This window comes from Homo sapiens, chromosome 18, assembly GCF_000001405.40.
Source record: "Homo sapiens chromosome 18, GRCh38.p14 Primary Assembly".
NCBI lineage: Eukaryota > Metazoa > Chordata > Mammalia > Primates > Hominidae > Homo > Homo sapiens.
Genome location: NC_000018.10, coordinates 3,180,321 through 3,198,374, shown reverse-complemented (window position 1 = coordinate 3,198,374; position 18,054 = coordinate 3,180,321). Strand labels below are relative to the sequence as shown.

At 39.7% G+C, this 18,054-nt stretch overlaps 1 protein-coding gene across 7 annotated transcripts in view; it reads left to right on the top strand.

The window, feature by feature from the left end:
* The window catches only part of MYOM1 (myomesin 1), a 180,570-nt gene that overhangs the window by 49,002 nt on the left and 113,514 nt on the right, over positions 1–18,054 (top strand). For all 7 annotated transcript variants that reach the window (XR_935071.3, XM_047437910.1, XM_047437911.1 and 4 more), the window contains 3 exons: positions 4,417–4,557; positions 9,288–9,627; positions 10,738–10,895. Coding sequence is in view for 6 of the 7 variants with exons in the window: in XM_047437910.1 (XP_047293866.1) it covers positions 4,417–4,557; positions 9,288–9,627; positions 10,738–10,895 (639 nt within the window). In the remaining variant the exon portion in view is untranslated. The remainder of the gene's footprint in view (positions 1–4,416; positions 4,558–9,287; positions 9,628–10,737; positions 10,896–18,054) is intronic.

Here is an 18,054-nt window from a genome sequence, read left to right as displayed (position 1 = left end):
AGAGAAACCAATAATGCAGCCTAACCCTGAACACATAAGGATGGGTGATGCTGGCTTTGGTGGCACAGTCAGCGGAGACAATGCCCACAGTTCATCCTTTCTCTGAAACGTGCTGATAGGCTGTCAGAATGTTTTCAGAAAATAACATAGCCATTAAGCAGATCTATACTTCCCATAAGCATGAATACATTTATTCATCCTAGTGAACCTGGAAAAATTTCCCCAAATTATATAGTGATTATAAACATAACTTTAAGGGGCCAGCATTTTACTTTATGTTCAGTTTAATGAGTTTTTTTTTGTGCTTTATTTTTAGCTGTAACTGATGATTTCATAACTTCAATTTAGGTGAATAAATTCAGGGAGAGCAAATCAACATCAAAGTCATCATGGGCAGTATGACATGGTTTTATGGTCTGCAAACTGGGGAGTCCACAAAGGCAAGCCATTGGAGTATAGAACGAAATAGTAACATTTCTTTTTCTTTTTCTTTTTCTTTTTTGAGATGGAGTCTCGCTCTGTCACCCAGGCCAGAGTGCAGTGGTGCGATCTCGGCTCACTGCAAGCTCTGCCTCCCAGGTTCACGCCATTCTCCTGCCTCAGCCTCCCGAGTAGCTGGGACCACAGGCGCCTGCCACCATGCCCAGCTAATTTTTTGTATTTTTAGTAAAGACGGGGTTTCACCATGTTAGCTAGGATGGTCTCGATCTCCTGACCTCGTGATCCGCCCGCCTTGGCCTCCCAACGTGCTGGGATTACAGGCGTGAGCCACCGCGCCCAGCCTTAACACTTCTTTTTTTAAAAAAAATCAAGTGTGGTCTTTAGTATTTTTCTATTGATTGAATGTTTCATAAAATTAGACTATTTATACAGTAGTATATGGATAGAACTTATAAATAAACATATATAGGTAGTATGCTCCCAATTTTTTTAAATTGAGAGTACTTGATCATAAAGGTTGGAGATCCCAGCACTTTGGGAGGCCAAGGCAGGCGGATCACCTGAGATCAGGAGTTTGAGACCAGCCTGGCCAACATGGCGAAACTCTGTCTCTACTAAAACGTACAAAAATTAGCTGGCCATGGTGGCGTGCGCCTGTAATCCCAGCTATTCAGGAGGCTGAGGCAGGAGAATTGTTTGAACTCGGGAGGCAGAGGTTGCAGTGAGCCGAGATCGCGCCATTGCACTCCAGCCTGGGTGACAGAGTGAGACTCCGTCTCAAAAAAAAAAAAAAAAAAGGAAGTTGGAGATGACTGGTATAGTGTAAAGAACACTAACCTGAAAATCAAGAAGAGATGAATGCTAGTCCCAGTTCACCACCAACTCACTGTGTGAGCATGGGTGAGTTACAAACACTCTCCAGGCTTTGCTTTCCACATCTGTCAAATCAAGGGCCTGATATAAATATCCCCGAGTCCTCTTTCAGCTCTGAGATTCTATAAATGGTTTTGTTCTTGCTTTTCCTGTTACGAAGTTGAACAAGTAGGTGGTTATGATATTTTCTGTTCAGTATTTGAATTAAATGCAGGTGTAAGTCTACTTCTGAGTTCCTGGAATATTTCCGGAGAGTGCATTTTGTACCTTGGCTACATCTCTTCCCTGTGGTGCTACCAGTCATAGATGTATGTGATAATGTCCTACACACCAGGATATGTATTTAAAATCTGTTAACTGTAGACATATTAACAAGGACTAGCATAATTGGTGGGGGAGTACAAAAAGATGTACCTAGATATAGATACAGTTACAGGCTCATAGATACCTGCACACACACACAATTAACCCTTGCCTTTTGCTTAATTTGATTGCTTTCATCAAAATTCAGAAAGCTTCAAGATTTAAGCTAAGTACATTAAAAAACACTACATGTAGTTTTAATAGGTAAAGACTGACACCAGTCCATACATATTGTTTGGTATCTACTCAGAAACTGAGTTGTTGGCTTATTTTCAAAATTTAAATACATAAAAGCCCAAGGGGTTAGCAATCCCTTATTTAACTCTTTGATTTAAGATCAAAGAAATTTAAAATCTACATATTCGATGTAACTCCTTTAGAAACATTATTCAACTTTAAAATTTGATAGAGTAAGATGTTGGACTTCAGAGTTCATGGATCATGACAAAATAGACTATGGATGGTTTTTCTTAAGATAATTATGCTTATTATAACATAGTCACTTTCTTTAAAGTTTGTGTCTCTCTGATTTAGTTTTGTTTGGTAGCCTCAATACATAAACGTCTTAGCATTACTAAATCATCAGTTTGCATTGTATTTTAACACCTAATTCTTCAATACTCTTTATTAGAAATCAAAGGCTTGAAGAAATATTAGCATAATAAAAGTGAAGATCTTGCGTTTTCTAAGCAGTACTATATAACACATAACATCATAATGCTTTTTAAAAATTCTTCTGTTCCAAATGAAATATGAAGTGGAAGCTGATGAAAGTGCCATGAGTCTTTAGCATAAAGTTCAACTATTAAAAATCAGCTCTTACATTGGAAGGACATAAAGAAAAAAAAAAGCAGCGCCTGTGATTTACTTGTGAGAATGGAATACTCATATTATGGCACATTCTATGTAATAAATGCATTATTTTAAGAATTTGTCTTAAAGGATAAATGACAGAAAAAGGAGCAATGCAATGAAAAGAATAACAAATCATAGCTATTTTGATGTAAATAAATGTCAAAAAATAATGAGCTCATGAGACTATGACTGTGGCCACTAGAATGGAAGTAAAGAGAGAAAAGCAAAAGCAGAAAAACAGGAGAGAAATTAGAAATCCAACTGTTCTGGAAACAGGGGAAAAAATGAAACTCTTAAGCCCCATAAGTATGTTATTTTGGATGCTAATGGAATAAAGAGGTGAGGGAAAATACCACTTTAAACTTAGACCTGTATAAGCACAGCCTGTACTTTGTGACCTGCCGGGGTATAGAATGCAGTCGTTTTGCTGCTGCCCAGGACAGCTGGCCAGGAACAAATGTCACCCTGGCTTCCAGTTTGTAACCAATCCACAAGCTTAAATTCAAAGTTCTAACCTTTAGTTTTAATGCTCATCATAGAAAAAGAGATGGATATTCCCCACTGGGGGAGGTGGTAGATAGTGGGGAAGGAAGAGTTTGGCCATTTCCATGCGACCTCCCTGGAGGATTCAAGGGGCCGCTGCCTGCCCTGCATGTCAAAGTCCTGTGCTACTTGTTTTCTCGCATCGTCATATATCCATTTTGTACCATGTATGTGCTTGGCCTCTCTTCTGCTTTTGATTAGGTAATCCCTTTTGCTTTTTCAAATGATTTTCCAAGATTAGGAAATGGTCAAGGTTTGGATGGTTTGGAAGGTTTTTCTATTTCAACTGGGCAGCTTGGCTTTTCCCATGCCACAATACCCCTGTTCACCTTGTCTTTAGAGATTCTCTAGACGGGGGCTCTTAAAAAATACATTAACTTTTTTTTTTTTAAGAATAGTTTCAAATTTACAAAATGATTACAAGGATAGTGCAGAGGGTTCCCATACAGATCCCTATTGTTAACATCTTTCTTAATGTGTAGATCAGGGACTTTTAGCCCCAAGTTCATGGATTGACTTCAGGGAGTTCATGAACTCCTGAAGTTTATGCCAAATTGTTTATGTTTGTATGAAAATGCATTTCATTTCATTCAAGAGCTATATAAATTAAGACTATTCTTTTCATTTCATCAGTCCTTTTCCTCTGCTATCTCTGCTCTCATGTTTTCCACTTCCCTAGTCAATTTTTTGGTTTATTAGAACACTACCTGCCTCCAAGTGCACATTTGTACCAGTGTGCACAGGAAGCCAGAACTGACCAAAGGCTTCCTTATCGCACCCGTGTGCACCACTGAGTCAATCGGCATCGTGTGTTCCCATAAAATATGTTAACTCTATCATTTAATAAGCCCCACGTCCCTTCAAAGGCAGGAGTTGCCTATAATACATAAAGGTCTCAGTGTAAACCAAGGGTCCTACATCAGGATGGACCTGTCTAGAAAAGTATGCATTTTAAATAAGCTCCCAAAAGAATTTGGATGCACCATGTATCAAACCATTTATATAGACTGCCTAAATTTCCAACATGACATTAACACAAAAGGGCATTTAGAACTATCATAAAAACATCACTCTTTTCCCTTGAAACTTTAAGTGGGGGAAAAAGCCATGCAATTACTGTAGCCATAAAGTTATTATCACTATTTTTCTTTTCTGTCTATATAGAATCCATTATTTGAAATCTTTCTAACTCTACTTTAATTCTAAAGATAAGAGATAATTGTAACATTAGAGATCTAGGATTTGGTAAAATTTCTCCCAAGTTAAAACTTCCTCTATCGTATTTTGAATATTGTAAATGCCTTTTTTTGTTACTGTCTGATGTTAGGTGGTTTATTTCAGACTTACAGATTCCAGTCTGCTGTTAGATGATTATTCATCCAAGTTGAGCCCCAAACCAAAGAGAGCCAAGCACAGCCTACTGTCTGGAGAAGAGAAAGAAAATTTGCCCAGTGACTACATGGTACCCATTTTCTCAGGACGGTGAGTGTGCTTTTTCTTCCTGGCTTTAATTTTTAAGAAGTATATAGTAAGTGCTATAGGAATGGCAGATTATAGTCATAATTGTTGTGGACAGATTATAGAAATAGCAGCTAACATTTATTGAGCACTTGTTAGATTATAGTAAAAGCAGCTAACCTTTTATTAAGCACTTACTATATACTGATTCAGATCTGAGGAAGCTGGGAACCCTGCACTGAGAGAGATGTGTTAACTGTGTTAAAAGGGACTTCCTCTTCAGAAATTTTGCCATCACGTAGGATGGTTACATGACAAACAAGAATGATCAGAACTTAATGCTGCTTATAAAACTAGCTGGAATGGGAAGTGGATCCTGGGATGCTTGTGATTGGACAGGACAGCCAGAGTAAAAAGAAAGCTTCAAAAACTACAAAATGTTGGGTGAATTTTTATTATTGTGTGTGTGTGTGTGTGTGTATATATATATATATGTATATGTACATATATATGTATATGTACATATACATATATATATGTATGTATATGTATATATATTTATGTATTTGAGATAGGGTCTCACTCTGTTACCCAGGCTGGAGTGCAGTGGCACAAACATAGCTCACTGCAGCCTCAACCTCCCAGACTCAGGCAATCCTCCTACCTCAGCCTCCCAAGTAGCTGGGTCCACAGGCACGAGCCACCACACCCAGCTAATTTTTTTAAAAAATTATGTGTAGTGATGGGGTCTCACTATATCGCCCAGGTTGGTCTTGAACTCCTGGGCTCAAGTGATCTTCCCTGCTTGGCCTCCCAAAGTGCTGGAATTACAGGCATGAGCCACCACACCTGGCCTGGGTGAACTTTTAAAAAAAAACCCAAGATGACACATTTAGGTAGCTGAAAAATATCTTGGTTATCAATGTGGTTTTAATTATTATTCATTGGGGGAAAAAATCTCATCATAATTTGAATGCCTTGTTCAATGGGAAATAGATTGCTATTTACTTTGAGGTAAACTTCAGACAAAATAATCACTAAATCACAAGTCTGTGTGATGCCACTTTTCTATCTTTATTGCATAAACATTATTTTTGAGCAGTAATAATATTTAAAGGAATCTTGAAAGGAAACTTGTCCTGGACACCAAGATTAAAGCTCAACAGGAGCTTTCTGGTTCATCTCCTATTTATTTCTCTTTGAACAGAGAGTTATTCCCATAGCTCAGGTGACACTCAAAGTGAGGCCATCCTCTAAGAGCAAATGTCATGGAAAAGTAGATCCTCTTGGAAGTCAGGAAATAATTTGGTTGTGATTGATGGTGACCTACTTCTGTTGCCTGTGTTTTTCTTTCCATTGCCCTCTGACAGTTCCTTTCTGACTTGTGTCAGAGGCTAATGTCATAATTGCTCTGAACCCAATTAGGAAGGTAAAGGGATAAATAACATTCTATTTTTAGCTTTTTATTTGATATCTTTGCTATCTCTGATTTTTTTAAGTGAACTTTCCAGACAAACATGTTTTCACTGCTAAGTATGGATGCCCAGCCTTTTGACCTCTTCACAGTAGCTTAATGTAACTCGCATTCCTTATAAGAGATGGTAGGCTAGAGCGGTAAAATCTTTTGTCTCCAGTATTTTTCCCACTCTGTTTCAAAAAATCATTTAAAAACCACATCAGCTTAACACCAGCCTACGTGACATGACTCCACCTGGCAGGGCACAAAATGAAGCTTCTTACTCCTAACATCTTCTCCCTGCTCTGTCCACACCAAACTATTTTTCTCTTCCGGGCCAATCTCAAGAAGTGATCATTTACAAATACACTGTGATAAAAGAAGACGTGAGGCCAGGCACGGTGGCTCATGCCTGTAATTCCAGCACTTTGGGAGGCTGAGGCGGGCAGATCACAATGTCAGGAGATTGAGACCATCCTGGCTAACACGGTGAAACCCGGTCTCTACTAAAAATACAAAAAAATTAGCCGGGCGTGGTGGCGGGCACCTGTAGTCCCAGCTACTCGGGAGGCTGAGGCAGGAAAATCGCTTAAACCTGGGAGGCAGAGGTTGCAGTGAGCTGAGATCACGCCACTGCACTCCAGCCTGGGCCACAGAGTGAGACCCCATCTCAAAAAGAAAAAAAAAAAAGATGTGAAGAAAAATTGATCTTCTAGGCTTTATTTCTAGTTCTCCATTATATCTTATATGATGTCATCACCTATACTCTGTTACTGTGTCAAAAATAACATTTCACAGTGGTTTTGGCAGTATTAACAATCTGAGGAGAGGATGGAAAAGAAATGAACATTTGTTGAGTGTCTATTATTATTTGCTGGGACTCACGCAAGGTGCTTTATATAAACCATCTTGCTAAATTCTCCATACAACCCTGCAGAGATATTAATATATCAACGTTTTGGACAAGGAAATCATGGCAGAGTGACTTGCTGAAAGCTGCATGCCTGGGAGGTAAAGAATTGAAAGTCCCACGTAGGCCTGGCGAATGCAGTGGACATGCCCTCTGCACTCACAGTGTGCTTCTGGAAAATACCATTTCCTCTGCATGGCACCTGAAATTTCCACTTATATTCCAATAAATCGAGTAAACTTTGTGTCAACAAGAGATTTTTGAATTGAGACTGTCAGAGATTCGCAGAGTACCGGGAGATTTTAAATTTATTTTTACTTTGTAGTAGTATACTTTTGTCAACATGTTAGCCTCACAGTTTTGCTTTTGTGTCCACATTATAGAAGGGTTATCACTGATAAATCCTGACTTTTACTTAAAGGAGAATATCCCTATTGCCTGGGTCTAACATACTTTTTAACTGTAGTTGAGTTCTCGTGTGAAATAATTAGTTTTTTTTCGAAGTTTAGCTTCTTTGTAAATGGAAAAGGCAAGGAGACTATCACTTCATTTGGCCCTCTAGAGCTGTGCCAACATATCCAGTATCAGTAGTAATGAGAACTTAAACATAAAGTTCTCTTACTTGGAGCCTGGGGCAAGACTAGCACTGAATATGATCCATCATTACATGAATTGAAACAGCTCACAAAGCTCATTTCACATCTCCCTATTGCATATTGACTTCCATAGAGAATTCCAAGCAAATTCTCCTGATGGTTTGTTTTGTATTCAGTTAGTAATTCATTCATTTCCTATCTTGTTCAAAAAAGAATGAGAGGTCATTATGTGAGGACACTAAGCTAAAAATCTTTCATCTTCTTCCTGCCCCCCAAATAATAATGGACATATTACTAACATCCATAGTAGGGATTAGCTTATTAATATTTACGGAGAGAGAAAAAAACTTAAAATTTACTCACTACATTTAGTCAGAAACAACGTGGACTCATCTCGTCTGCCAGATGTTTTAGGAATAGTCCATGAGAAACCCCAATCTTGGCAAATGTGGAATCTCATTCCTCAGCAAGCAGCATAGATTTAGATGCTAGGAACTTGCTAACACAATGGCAGCATTTGCTTACATTCTGAAGTAATCATTCTTAGAATGCACGATTCTGTCTTAAGAGGTCTAAGGAGACTCAATGTCAAGAGAATCTTCGATGTAATCAATACACTCTCTCACGAAACATTTGAGGGGGTTAACAACAAAAGGCATTGAAATATGTTAAAATAATTCAAATATTTTTAAACGACATGAATAAATCACAGCACAGATTCTATCATAAACTGCCACAGTAGGCATTGCACTTGGGATGTTGCCACTCCCTTACTATTGTCAATTATGAATAATAACGAGTCACATTTATAAACGTCACCACTTCCATCACAAGTTTGATAATTTCTTAGTATATAGTATAGGTACACACATAGTATATGCACACACAACATGTATTATCTTAGAAAGAAACCCAGTAGGCATAAGGAACCTCATGTAAATTCAGAACTTATTCATACCTGTAACAACTCCAGGCAATGCATTACATCAGCAAAGTGACAGAACCCAGATCAAGCTCCTACTCATGTATCAGGGTCACAGGCACACAAACTAGATCTCATTTGACAATATAGCTTTTCTGGAAAGGAACCATAATCTTTTATTTTAAACAAAATCATGTTTAAACACACTAAGACAACCAGTGAGACGACCTTGGCCAAGTTATCTAACTTATCTGAACTTCGTTACCATATATTTAAAACAGAAATAATAATTTATCTTGGCCAGGCACGGTGGATCATGCCTGTAATCCCAGCACTTTGGGAGGCCAAGGCTGGTGGATCACCTCAGGTCAGGAATTCGAGACCAGCCTGGCCAACATGGTGAAACCCTGTCTCTACTAAAATTACAAAATATTAGCCAGGCATGGTAGCAGGAGCCTGTAATCCCAGCTCCTTGAGAGGCTGAGGCAGGAGAATTGCTTGAACAAGGAGGCCAAGGTTGCAGTGAGCTGAGATCGCACCACTGCACTCCAGCCTGGGCAACAAGAGCGAGACTCCATATCAAAAAAAAAAAAAAAGTTTATCTCATAGGGTTTGTAAGGGGATGAAACAAGATAGTGTATGTGAAAAGCACCAGGGCCATCATAGGTGTTATTATTGTTGTTATTTGTTAAGGTGAGGAATACTTCTGTACATGAAGTGTCAGCTTCTGATTCACCTGCTTTTTCTATGTCGGATTTTCTTTTGGTGCAGGATACAGTGTCTGAGATGTGGTACTTTGAACTTAGTAAAATTACTCAATCTTATCACTGCCATCCACAACATCTACATTTTGCCATTGTTGTGTTTTAGTCAAAAGCATGTCAGTGGAATTACTGATACGGAAGAAGAAAGAATTAAAGAAGCTGCTGCTTATATAGCCCAGAGGAATCTTCTTGCTAGTGAGGAAGGAATCACAACATCTAAACAGTCCACGGCATCCAAGCAGACCACGGCATCTAAGCAGTCCACGGCATCCAAGCAGTCCACAGCATCCAAGCAGTCCACGGCATCCAGGCAGTCCACGGCATCCAGGCAGTCTGTGGTTTCCAAACAGGCCACATCCGCTCTTCAACAGGAAGAAACTTCTGAAAAGAAGTCAAGGAAAGTTGTGATTCGAGAAAAGGCAGAACGCCTGTCCCTGAGGAAAACAGTAAGAAAAGACAGTTTAAAGTAACTTACAAAGGTGGAAATGCATGTCATAAGGGGTGTGTGTGTGTGTGTGTGTGTGTGTAGATATAGATTGATTTGTTTCTTTTTTTTTTTCCTTTTGAGATGGAGTCTCACTCTGTCCCCCAGGTTGGAGTGCAGTGGCGCAGTCTCAGCTCACTGCAGCCTCCGCCTCCCGGATTCAAGCGATTCTTCTGCCTCAGCCTCCCAAGTAGCTGGGATTACAGGCACGTGCCACCACACCCAGCTAATTTTCGTTGTTGTTTTTTTTTTTCTGGTAGAGGTGGGGTTTCGCCATGTTGGCAAGGCTGGTCTTGAACTCGTGACCTCAAGTGATCCACCCACCTCGGCCTCCCCAAATGTTGGGATTATAGGTGTGAGCCACTGCACCCAGCTGATTTGTTTCAAATGAAGAATATGTGGTCTTTTGGAGAAACAAAACGTAAGAAAACAAGGAGAAAGACATTAAAATATTAATATGTAGGTCAAAGAAAGCAAACAATAGTTTTAAACTCCATGGAATTTTAGGTTTTAAGAAAATTAAAGATTTTAGAGAGCCTTAAGAAATCCACCTTGGAGAAGTAAAATATGATCAGGTGTGGCGGCTCACACCTGTAATCCCAGTTTTGGGAGGCCAAGGCAGGAGAATTACTTGAGGACAGGAGTTCGAGACCAGCCTAGCCAACATGGTGAAACCCCTAAAATCTCTACTAAAAATACAAAAATTAGCCAGGCATGGTGGTGCATGCCTGTAATCCCAGCTACTCGGGAGGCTGAGGCACAAGAATCGCATGAACCTGGGAGGCAGAGGCTGCAGTGATGCAGGTTGCACCAGTGCACTCCAGTCCGGGCCAAAAAAAAAAAAAAAAAAAAGAAAAAGAAATCAAAGATGTTGCTTAAGCTTAGAATGTTAAATGTCAAATAACTACCTCTGTTCTTAAAAGGGAGAAGGGAGTGCATTTTCTCTACAAAAAATTAAGCTTCCAAATGGAAAAATAAAACTTTTGCCTTCTACTTGTTATTTTAGCACCAAAATTCACTTTGATTTATTGGTATTTTGGTAATATGTTTGTTTGCATATTTGTTTTTTCAGTTAGAAGAAACCGAGACATATCATGCCAAGCTGAATGAAGACCATCTTCTCCATGCTCCTGAGTTTATCATTAAACCTCGCTCCCACACGGTTTGGGAGAAGGAGAATGTAAAATTGCATTGCTCCATAGCAGGCTGGCCAGAACCTCGTGTCACGTGGTATGTTATCTTTATGAAAGCTAACAGAATTCATTACACCAAGTTAAGTTCGCCTCTAGTGGAAACACACAGAACAACCATATGCAAGAGTCAATGAAGACATCTACAAGATTGTATAGGTTTTTAAAAGAGTGAAGAAGGGTAGGCATTGAGATGAATTTGTATGCATGGGAAGAAAAAACAGTCTTGCATATATACGCTACATGATAATACTCTATAATCCTATTATACAAATGGATCTTTATTTTATATGAAGTATTGCATTTTAGTCAACATATGTACCAACATACCAAATATATGTCTATAACTCTTACGGATGATAAAAGTTAGGTAAAAATCAGCTTCCAGCAATGAACTTTACACAACATGGCAGGATTTTGTGATCAGAAGCAATGCTGCCTTTTACAAAACTCCCTTTAACTAAAACTCCCATCTCTACCCCTCATGTGAGCTGAGGCCTCAATGTGCCTTTCTTCCTTTCTTTCTTTCTTTTTTTCTTTCTTCTTTCTTTTCTTTTTCTTTCTTTCTCTCTTTTCCTTTTTTCTTTCTTTTTCTTTATCTTCCTCTTTCTTTCCTTCCTTCTTTCTCTTTCTTTCTTTCTCTCTCTCCCTTCCTTCCTTCCTTTCCCTTTCTTTCTTTTCTCTTCTTTCTTTCTCTTTCTTTCTTTCTTTCTTTCTCTTTCTTTCTTTCTCTCTCTCCTTCCTTCCTTCCTTTCCTTCCTTCCTTCTTTCTCTCTTTCTTTCTTCCTTTCTTATTTATTTATTTTTTTTACCAGAGAGCATAAGCAAGTTGCATCAATTTGTTTTCTGACACCAAACAAAAGAAAGAATTGGAAGGCAGATATTACCCAATATGGGGCATGAGATATTTTCTTTCCATAAAGAATAAGCACTCTTTTTCCTCCTTCATAATATATCCTATTGCAATTGTCAATGACTTTTTGATCCCTAACCTGAGAACTTTCCTGTCACATGTCACAAATATCTGCCATAGATGGCAGAAGTATGAAAATAATTGAGCCAATTAAAAAAGATATTTCAGTTTTACTCTCTGGTGCAGGTATTTGCATGCTTTTTTCTTATTTTCAGGAGTGGTGGTAAATGCACCTTAGGTTGCAATATAAACACTACATGAATGTCACTGTCACCCAGAGTGTCTGCGTCCTTCTCCTTTCTTTTCTGTTATTTCTAATGTTGATCAGATGCCTGCCTAGCACTGTGGAGGTAGCTGACAAGATAAACCCAATTAACTCTCTAAGGTTATTCTTTTTTTTTTTCCTTTTTTGAGACAGAGTCCCGCCTTGTCACCCAGGCTGGAATGCAGTGATGTAATCTCAGCTCACTGCAACCTCTGCCTCCTGGGTTCAAGCAATTCTCCTGCCTCAGCCTCCCAAGTAGCTGGGAATACAGGTGCATACCACCACACCTGGCTGATTTTTGTATTTTCAGTAGAGACGGGGTTTTGCCGTGTTGGCCAGGCTGGTCTCGAACTCCTGACCTCAGGTGATTTGCCCACCTCGGCCTCCCAAAGTGCTGGGACTACCGGAGTGAGCCAGCGCTCCTGGCTTCTAAGGTTGTTCTTAAGGAGCACATGGTGAGTTTTTACTTGTAATCTTAATCTGTCTTTGATGATTTTGGATTTACTTACAATTTTTCTATGTATGTAAACTCTTTTCAGGGCTTCTGAGTTTGAAAACCAAAGAATAAAAATCAAAGCTGGCTATGAATTATCAGGGCAAATAATTTATAGATGAGAACTGTGGAAACATATTTCTATAAAAATGAAGTTTAAAAAAATCAATTTACAAGCTTTAAAATGGAAAAGTAAGTTAGCAATCACTCTGCCTTTGCCTGCCCTTCTCTGTGACTATAGAGTTGCACAATTTGGCCTGTTAAAGGGACATTTCTTCTTAAAAAACCAATTACTTCCCACCTCAAAAAAAAAATTCCAAACTTTCCTATAGAAATGCACAAACAATAACAAATTTTTGGCTGCAAGAAATATTAGTAAAAATATTTCTTCTTTCATGAATTAAAATGTATCAATAATAAATGAATAATTAGAGGCCTTTGTTGAATAAATGTGTTTATTACACAGTTTCCTATCTGTGTTTTCCCACTTTAAAAAAATTAGAATTTAAGATGATTATCAAAAGGATACAAAGTAGCTTCTGGGAGATAAACATTCAATTCCTAAGCATTTATTTATTCTGTTAAGTACACAGCAACTGGAATAAAAACCCGGCCACATACCGCTGATGGTGTTATTAAGCAAAAGTGATGTGATTTCACGAAAGCAGAGCTGAACTTCAGAGATTAGACTCCTTACATTGTGCTCTGTTGATCTGGAAAAAAAGTAATTAAAAACAAAAACAAAAAGAATGGAAACTCTCCGGAAAAATAGGAGATGACCAAACTGTCAACCCTTCAAATTCCAGTTAAATTCAAAAATAGAAATACTGTCCATTTCCAGTGATCCTCACTAACAGAGCTAAGAAGCAGTAGAGTTGATCCCCAAACCCTTTACAGGTGGCTTTGAAATATCTGCATCCTTTACATGTGAAGTTTATGTCCTAGGGGCTCATTTCAAACAAAAGGGAAGACACAGAGACAAGCTTCCTCTCCAGAAGTACTGGATGAGCCTCCTCTGGTCCCTGCACCTCCGTTAGTGCTCTTGGAGAGAACAACTCCCTTGAGCCCCGTGCAAAGCATCAGTCCTAGTGACTTCATTCTTTATCGTACATTCTCCCACGAGGGACAGACCAGAGCATTTCACAGTCTCCTTGCCTTGCAAGCTAAGTGGAAAATAAATATTAAAACAAACGAACAACAAGGCTTCAGTGAGCTCTGATCTCGCCACTGCATCCCAGCCTGGGTAACTGAGCTAAAAAAACAAAAAAACAAACAAACAAAAAAAGAACTGGGAGACAACTAGGAAAATAGTTAACTATACTTCTGAGAGCAAGAGTTGCCCTGGGTAAAGCTGAAACTTGGACAATCAGTTAGCAGATAACTGATGACTGGAAATGGCAGTAAACAGGGTCAGGGTCAGGTTTTGTTGGCATGAAGCTGATACAACTTGGAGGGCACTCTTTACAAACTAAATAAATAAATTAGCAGTATAAGTTAGGACATAAGGTCTTGCAGGGATTTGGGTAGTGAGAGACCCTGAAATTTAAGCTTCATTTGCTTCAAGTTAAATCCACCTCTGGGAGTTGACTTCTGGATAGGATTAGTATATATTCCTGGGCATGTTTTTAAAAAGTCATTAACTGGGCTGGGCCAGCTGGCTCACACCTGTAATCCCAGCACTTTGGGAGGCCGAGGTGGGCAGATCACTTGAGGCCAGGAGTTTGAGACCAGCCTGGCCAACATGGAGAAAACGTGTCTCTACTAAAAATACAAAAATTAGCCAGGTGTGTTGGTGCATACCTGTAATCCCAGCTACTCGGGAGGCTGAGGCACAAGAATCACTTGAATCCAGGAAGCAGAGGTTGCAGTGAGCTGAGATGGCACTACTGCACTCCAGCCTGAGCAATAGAGTGTGACCCTGTCTCAAAAAAAAAAAAAAGAGAGAGAACGAAAAATGATTCACTGGAGTGCTAATTGACTTTGCACCACTGGTACAGAGCATGAAATCTTCAATAAGCAGCCTTTCCCTTGAAGACCTGGGAACCCGCAGCCCAAGCAACAACCAAGATTGTTGGTGATAACATTGCTGGCATTTATACCTTTTTGGTATCCAATTGCAGCTTCCTGGGCCTGACACTGAGGAGAAGTACAAAGGGAATATTGAGAATGCCCTTCCTGAATATCAGCAGGTTTATTAAAGGAGTAAATTTGTGATGATGCTTCATATAATCACACTGCCTCCACTCATAGCAGTTATGTCCTTAGCCACATCTTTCAAAGGCACGTGTGGCGGGCCTGTCTCCGGCAGAGCCCTTTCCAAAGAGGGTTTGGCTGGACACCAACCAACCAGTTTCCACTGGACACCTTCACTCATGGGAGTTCCTGAGGCCTAACAAATGATACAAGCACTCAGCAGCCGCTCTCCAACCAATCCCACATTACTAACCAAATCTATTCATGTGGAACCTAGAGGTTACCAGAGAGCACTGAATAAGGGCACACACATCCCTCATTAAAGTCAGGTGCAGAGACAGGATGCAGTACCGTCCTATTCCCAACTCGCTCTGACAGCAGCAGGGAGCCTGTCTAAGCACTGGCCTCGGTAGAAAAGTTAGTTACAGGCCGGGCGTGGTGGCCCACGCCTGTAATCCCAGCACTTTGGGAGGCCGAGTCGGGCGGATGACCTGAGGTCGGGAGTCCGAGACCAGCCTAACCAACATGGAGAGACCCTGTCTCTACTAAAAATACAAAATTAGCCGGGTGTGGTGGAGCATGCCTGTAATCCCAGCTACTGGGGAGGCTGAGGCAGGAGAATCGATGGAACGCGGAAGGCGGAGGTTGCGGTGAGCTGAGATCACGCCACTGCACTCCAGGCAGCCTGGGCAACAAGAGCGAAACTCTGTCTCAAAAAAAAAAAAAAAAAAAAAAAAAAAAAGAAGAAAGAAAAGTTAGTTGCAGAGGATGCTGCTGCACCCCTACCGTGAAGCTGGCCATCCTGCAGGAGGACTCTGTCGACATAGAAGGGAAAATACATATGTAGTGAAAAAAATTAAAGTTTTAAAATTTAATAGGGTACATTTATGTAATAACTTGTATAATAAGAGTCTTTCTGTTTAAAGGGGGAAGAAAAAAGCATTTATGTTTGTTTTTGTTTTATTTGCATAATGAAATTCTGGAAGGATATGGAAGAACCCAAGAAAAGCTATTGACCCTGAGGGGGAGCCTTGTCAAAGGGACAAAAGTTCTAGGAAGTTACCAGGAAGGGTTCACTGTGCACCCTTAGTTCTTTCTGGTTCTTGAACCATGTAAACGTATTACCTAGTCAGATTTTAAACATTATGTGAAATAGTGGAGAAGGAAAAAGTTTTCTTTAAAAGGAGAGAATAGTGTTAATTGTATACTTTTTATTATTATTATAATACTTTAAGTTCTAGGGTACATGTGCACAACGTGCAGGTTTGTTACATATGTATACATGTGCCATGTTGGTGTACTGCACCCATCAACTCGTCATTTACATTAGGTATATCTCCCAATGCTATCCCTCCCCCTCCCCTCACCTCATGACAGGCATACTTTTTAAAGAGCAGGATTCATTTGGGTTTCTGGCCTGAAGCCTAGATTGAATTTGTCCATGGAAATCTTGATTGTAGCCTGCAGGAAGATCAGGAAAACTCATTGGAGCAATGTGTTGGTATCAGTGTGTACCTGTCATTCACTCACTCGGCACTCATGTTTTCATATCTATATGTTGGACACTGGACTAGATCCTCAAGCAAAGCATTTATAATACATGTTTAAAATTCTTCAGTTTCAGCCAGGCGCGAGGGCTCACGCCTGTAATCCCAGCTCTTTAGGAGGCCGAGTCGGGCGGATTACCTGAGGTCCAGAGTTCGAGACCAGCCTGGCCAACATGGTGAAACTCCATCTGTACTAAAAGTACAAAAATTAGCCGGGTGTGGTGGCAGGAACCTGTAGTACCAGCTACACAGGAGGCTGAGGCAGGAGAATTGCTTGAATCTGGGAGGTGGAAGTTGCAGTGAGTGAGATCGCACCACTGCGCTACAGCCTGGGGGACAGAGCAAGACCCTGTCTCAAAAAAAAAAAAAAAAAAAATTATTCAGTTTCACCCAAAGGTCGTTGTCAAATAGATACTTAAAGAAATGTGTCATTAAGCCCATTATAATAATTCAAAACCTAGGAATAAAATAGTTACAAAGGCAGAGATTCAGAAAACTCTTCTATTCTCACAAATTATGAGGGTTTGTAAATTTCATAATAGAATCATGCATTGAGTTTATTTTCAAGATTAGAATTATTAATCACATATTCAAATTTAGCAGTTACTACCATATTATCATAGAAAAAACAGCTTATATTTAAAATGGTTAACACAAATTATTTACAATTTACAACAGTTTTCCAACATAAGGATTTGGAGTTTTACTTTGGATTTTTCTTATTTACTTAATTCCAAAATCTATCCCAATGGGATCTCTCTCTCTCTCTCAATCTCTCTCAGATAGTTTTTAAAGTGGGTCTAGAGTGATTTACTCAAAACAGGTTGGATTATAAGCAGCAATCTCATTTGTGGTGAGATTCAGTATATTAAAGATCATCTTTGGCCGGGCGTGGTGGTTCATGCCTGTAATCCCAGCACTTTGGGGGCCGAAGCAGGCAGATCACCTGAGGTCAGGAGTTTGAGACCAGCCTGGCCAACATGGTGAAAGCCCATGTCTACTAAAAATACAAAAAGTAGCTGGACGTGGTGGCACGCTCCTATAGTCCCAGCTACTTGGGAGGCTGAGGCAGGGGAACCACTTGAACCCGGAAGGCGGAGGTTGCAGTGAGCACAGATCGTGCCACTGCTCTTCAGCCTGGGTGACAGAGTAAGTAAGACTCCGTCTCAAAAAAAAAAAAAAAGATCATCTCGGTGTGCATTATTTGTGGGTAGAAAATAATTTTTGTGAAGTCTTTTGCTTGATCATGCTTTACACTGCCAAAGAGCTTTTACTGTGACCCCATACTATAAACTCGGCCCAACATCCAAACTGACATTTGTCTGGGAGAATTGTGTGTTTTACACACATAAAGGAAATGTCACTGGAAAAACTTATAGTATACTGAAAGCTCATTAGCAATTCATAGACATTACATAAAAATGATAAGGGAGATAGTATACATCTGAATATTCACAGGGATTTAAGAAAGCTTTTGATATGTAATCCCAGGGTGTGGATTAACCTCCAAAATTAGCCGATGACTACTCAGCTTGGAATTTCATGTTCTAGAAATAACAAGCTGTGAAGTATATACAGAACAGGCCCCAAATCCTTCTTTTCTTCCCTGACTTAAAGCTAAAGATAGCCAGTCTCAAGTGACTGCAAACCTAAATGCCTCACTGGGTGGAATTCTTTGGAGAATAGAATCAAATACCTTTCTGACTTAATCCTTGACCACCGCTTTAAATGAAGAATTTCTCACATTGGTATCTGGAGCTCCAGAGAAAAGACTACAAGCTCTGCAGT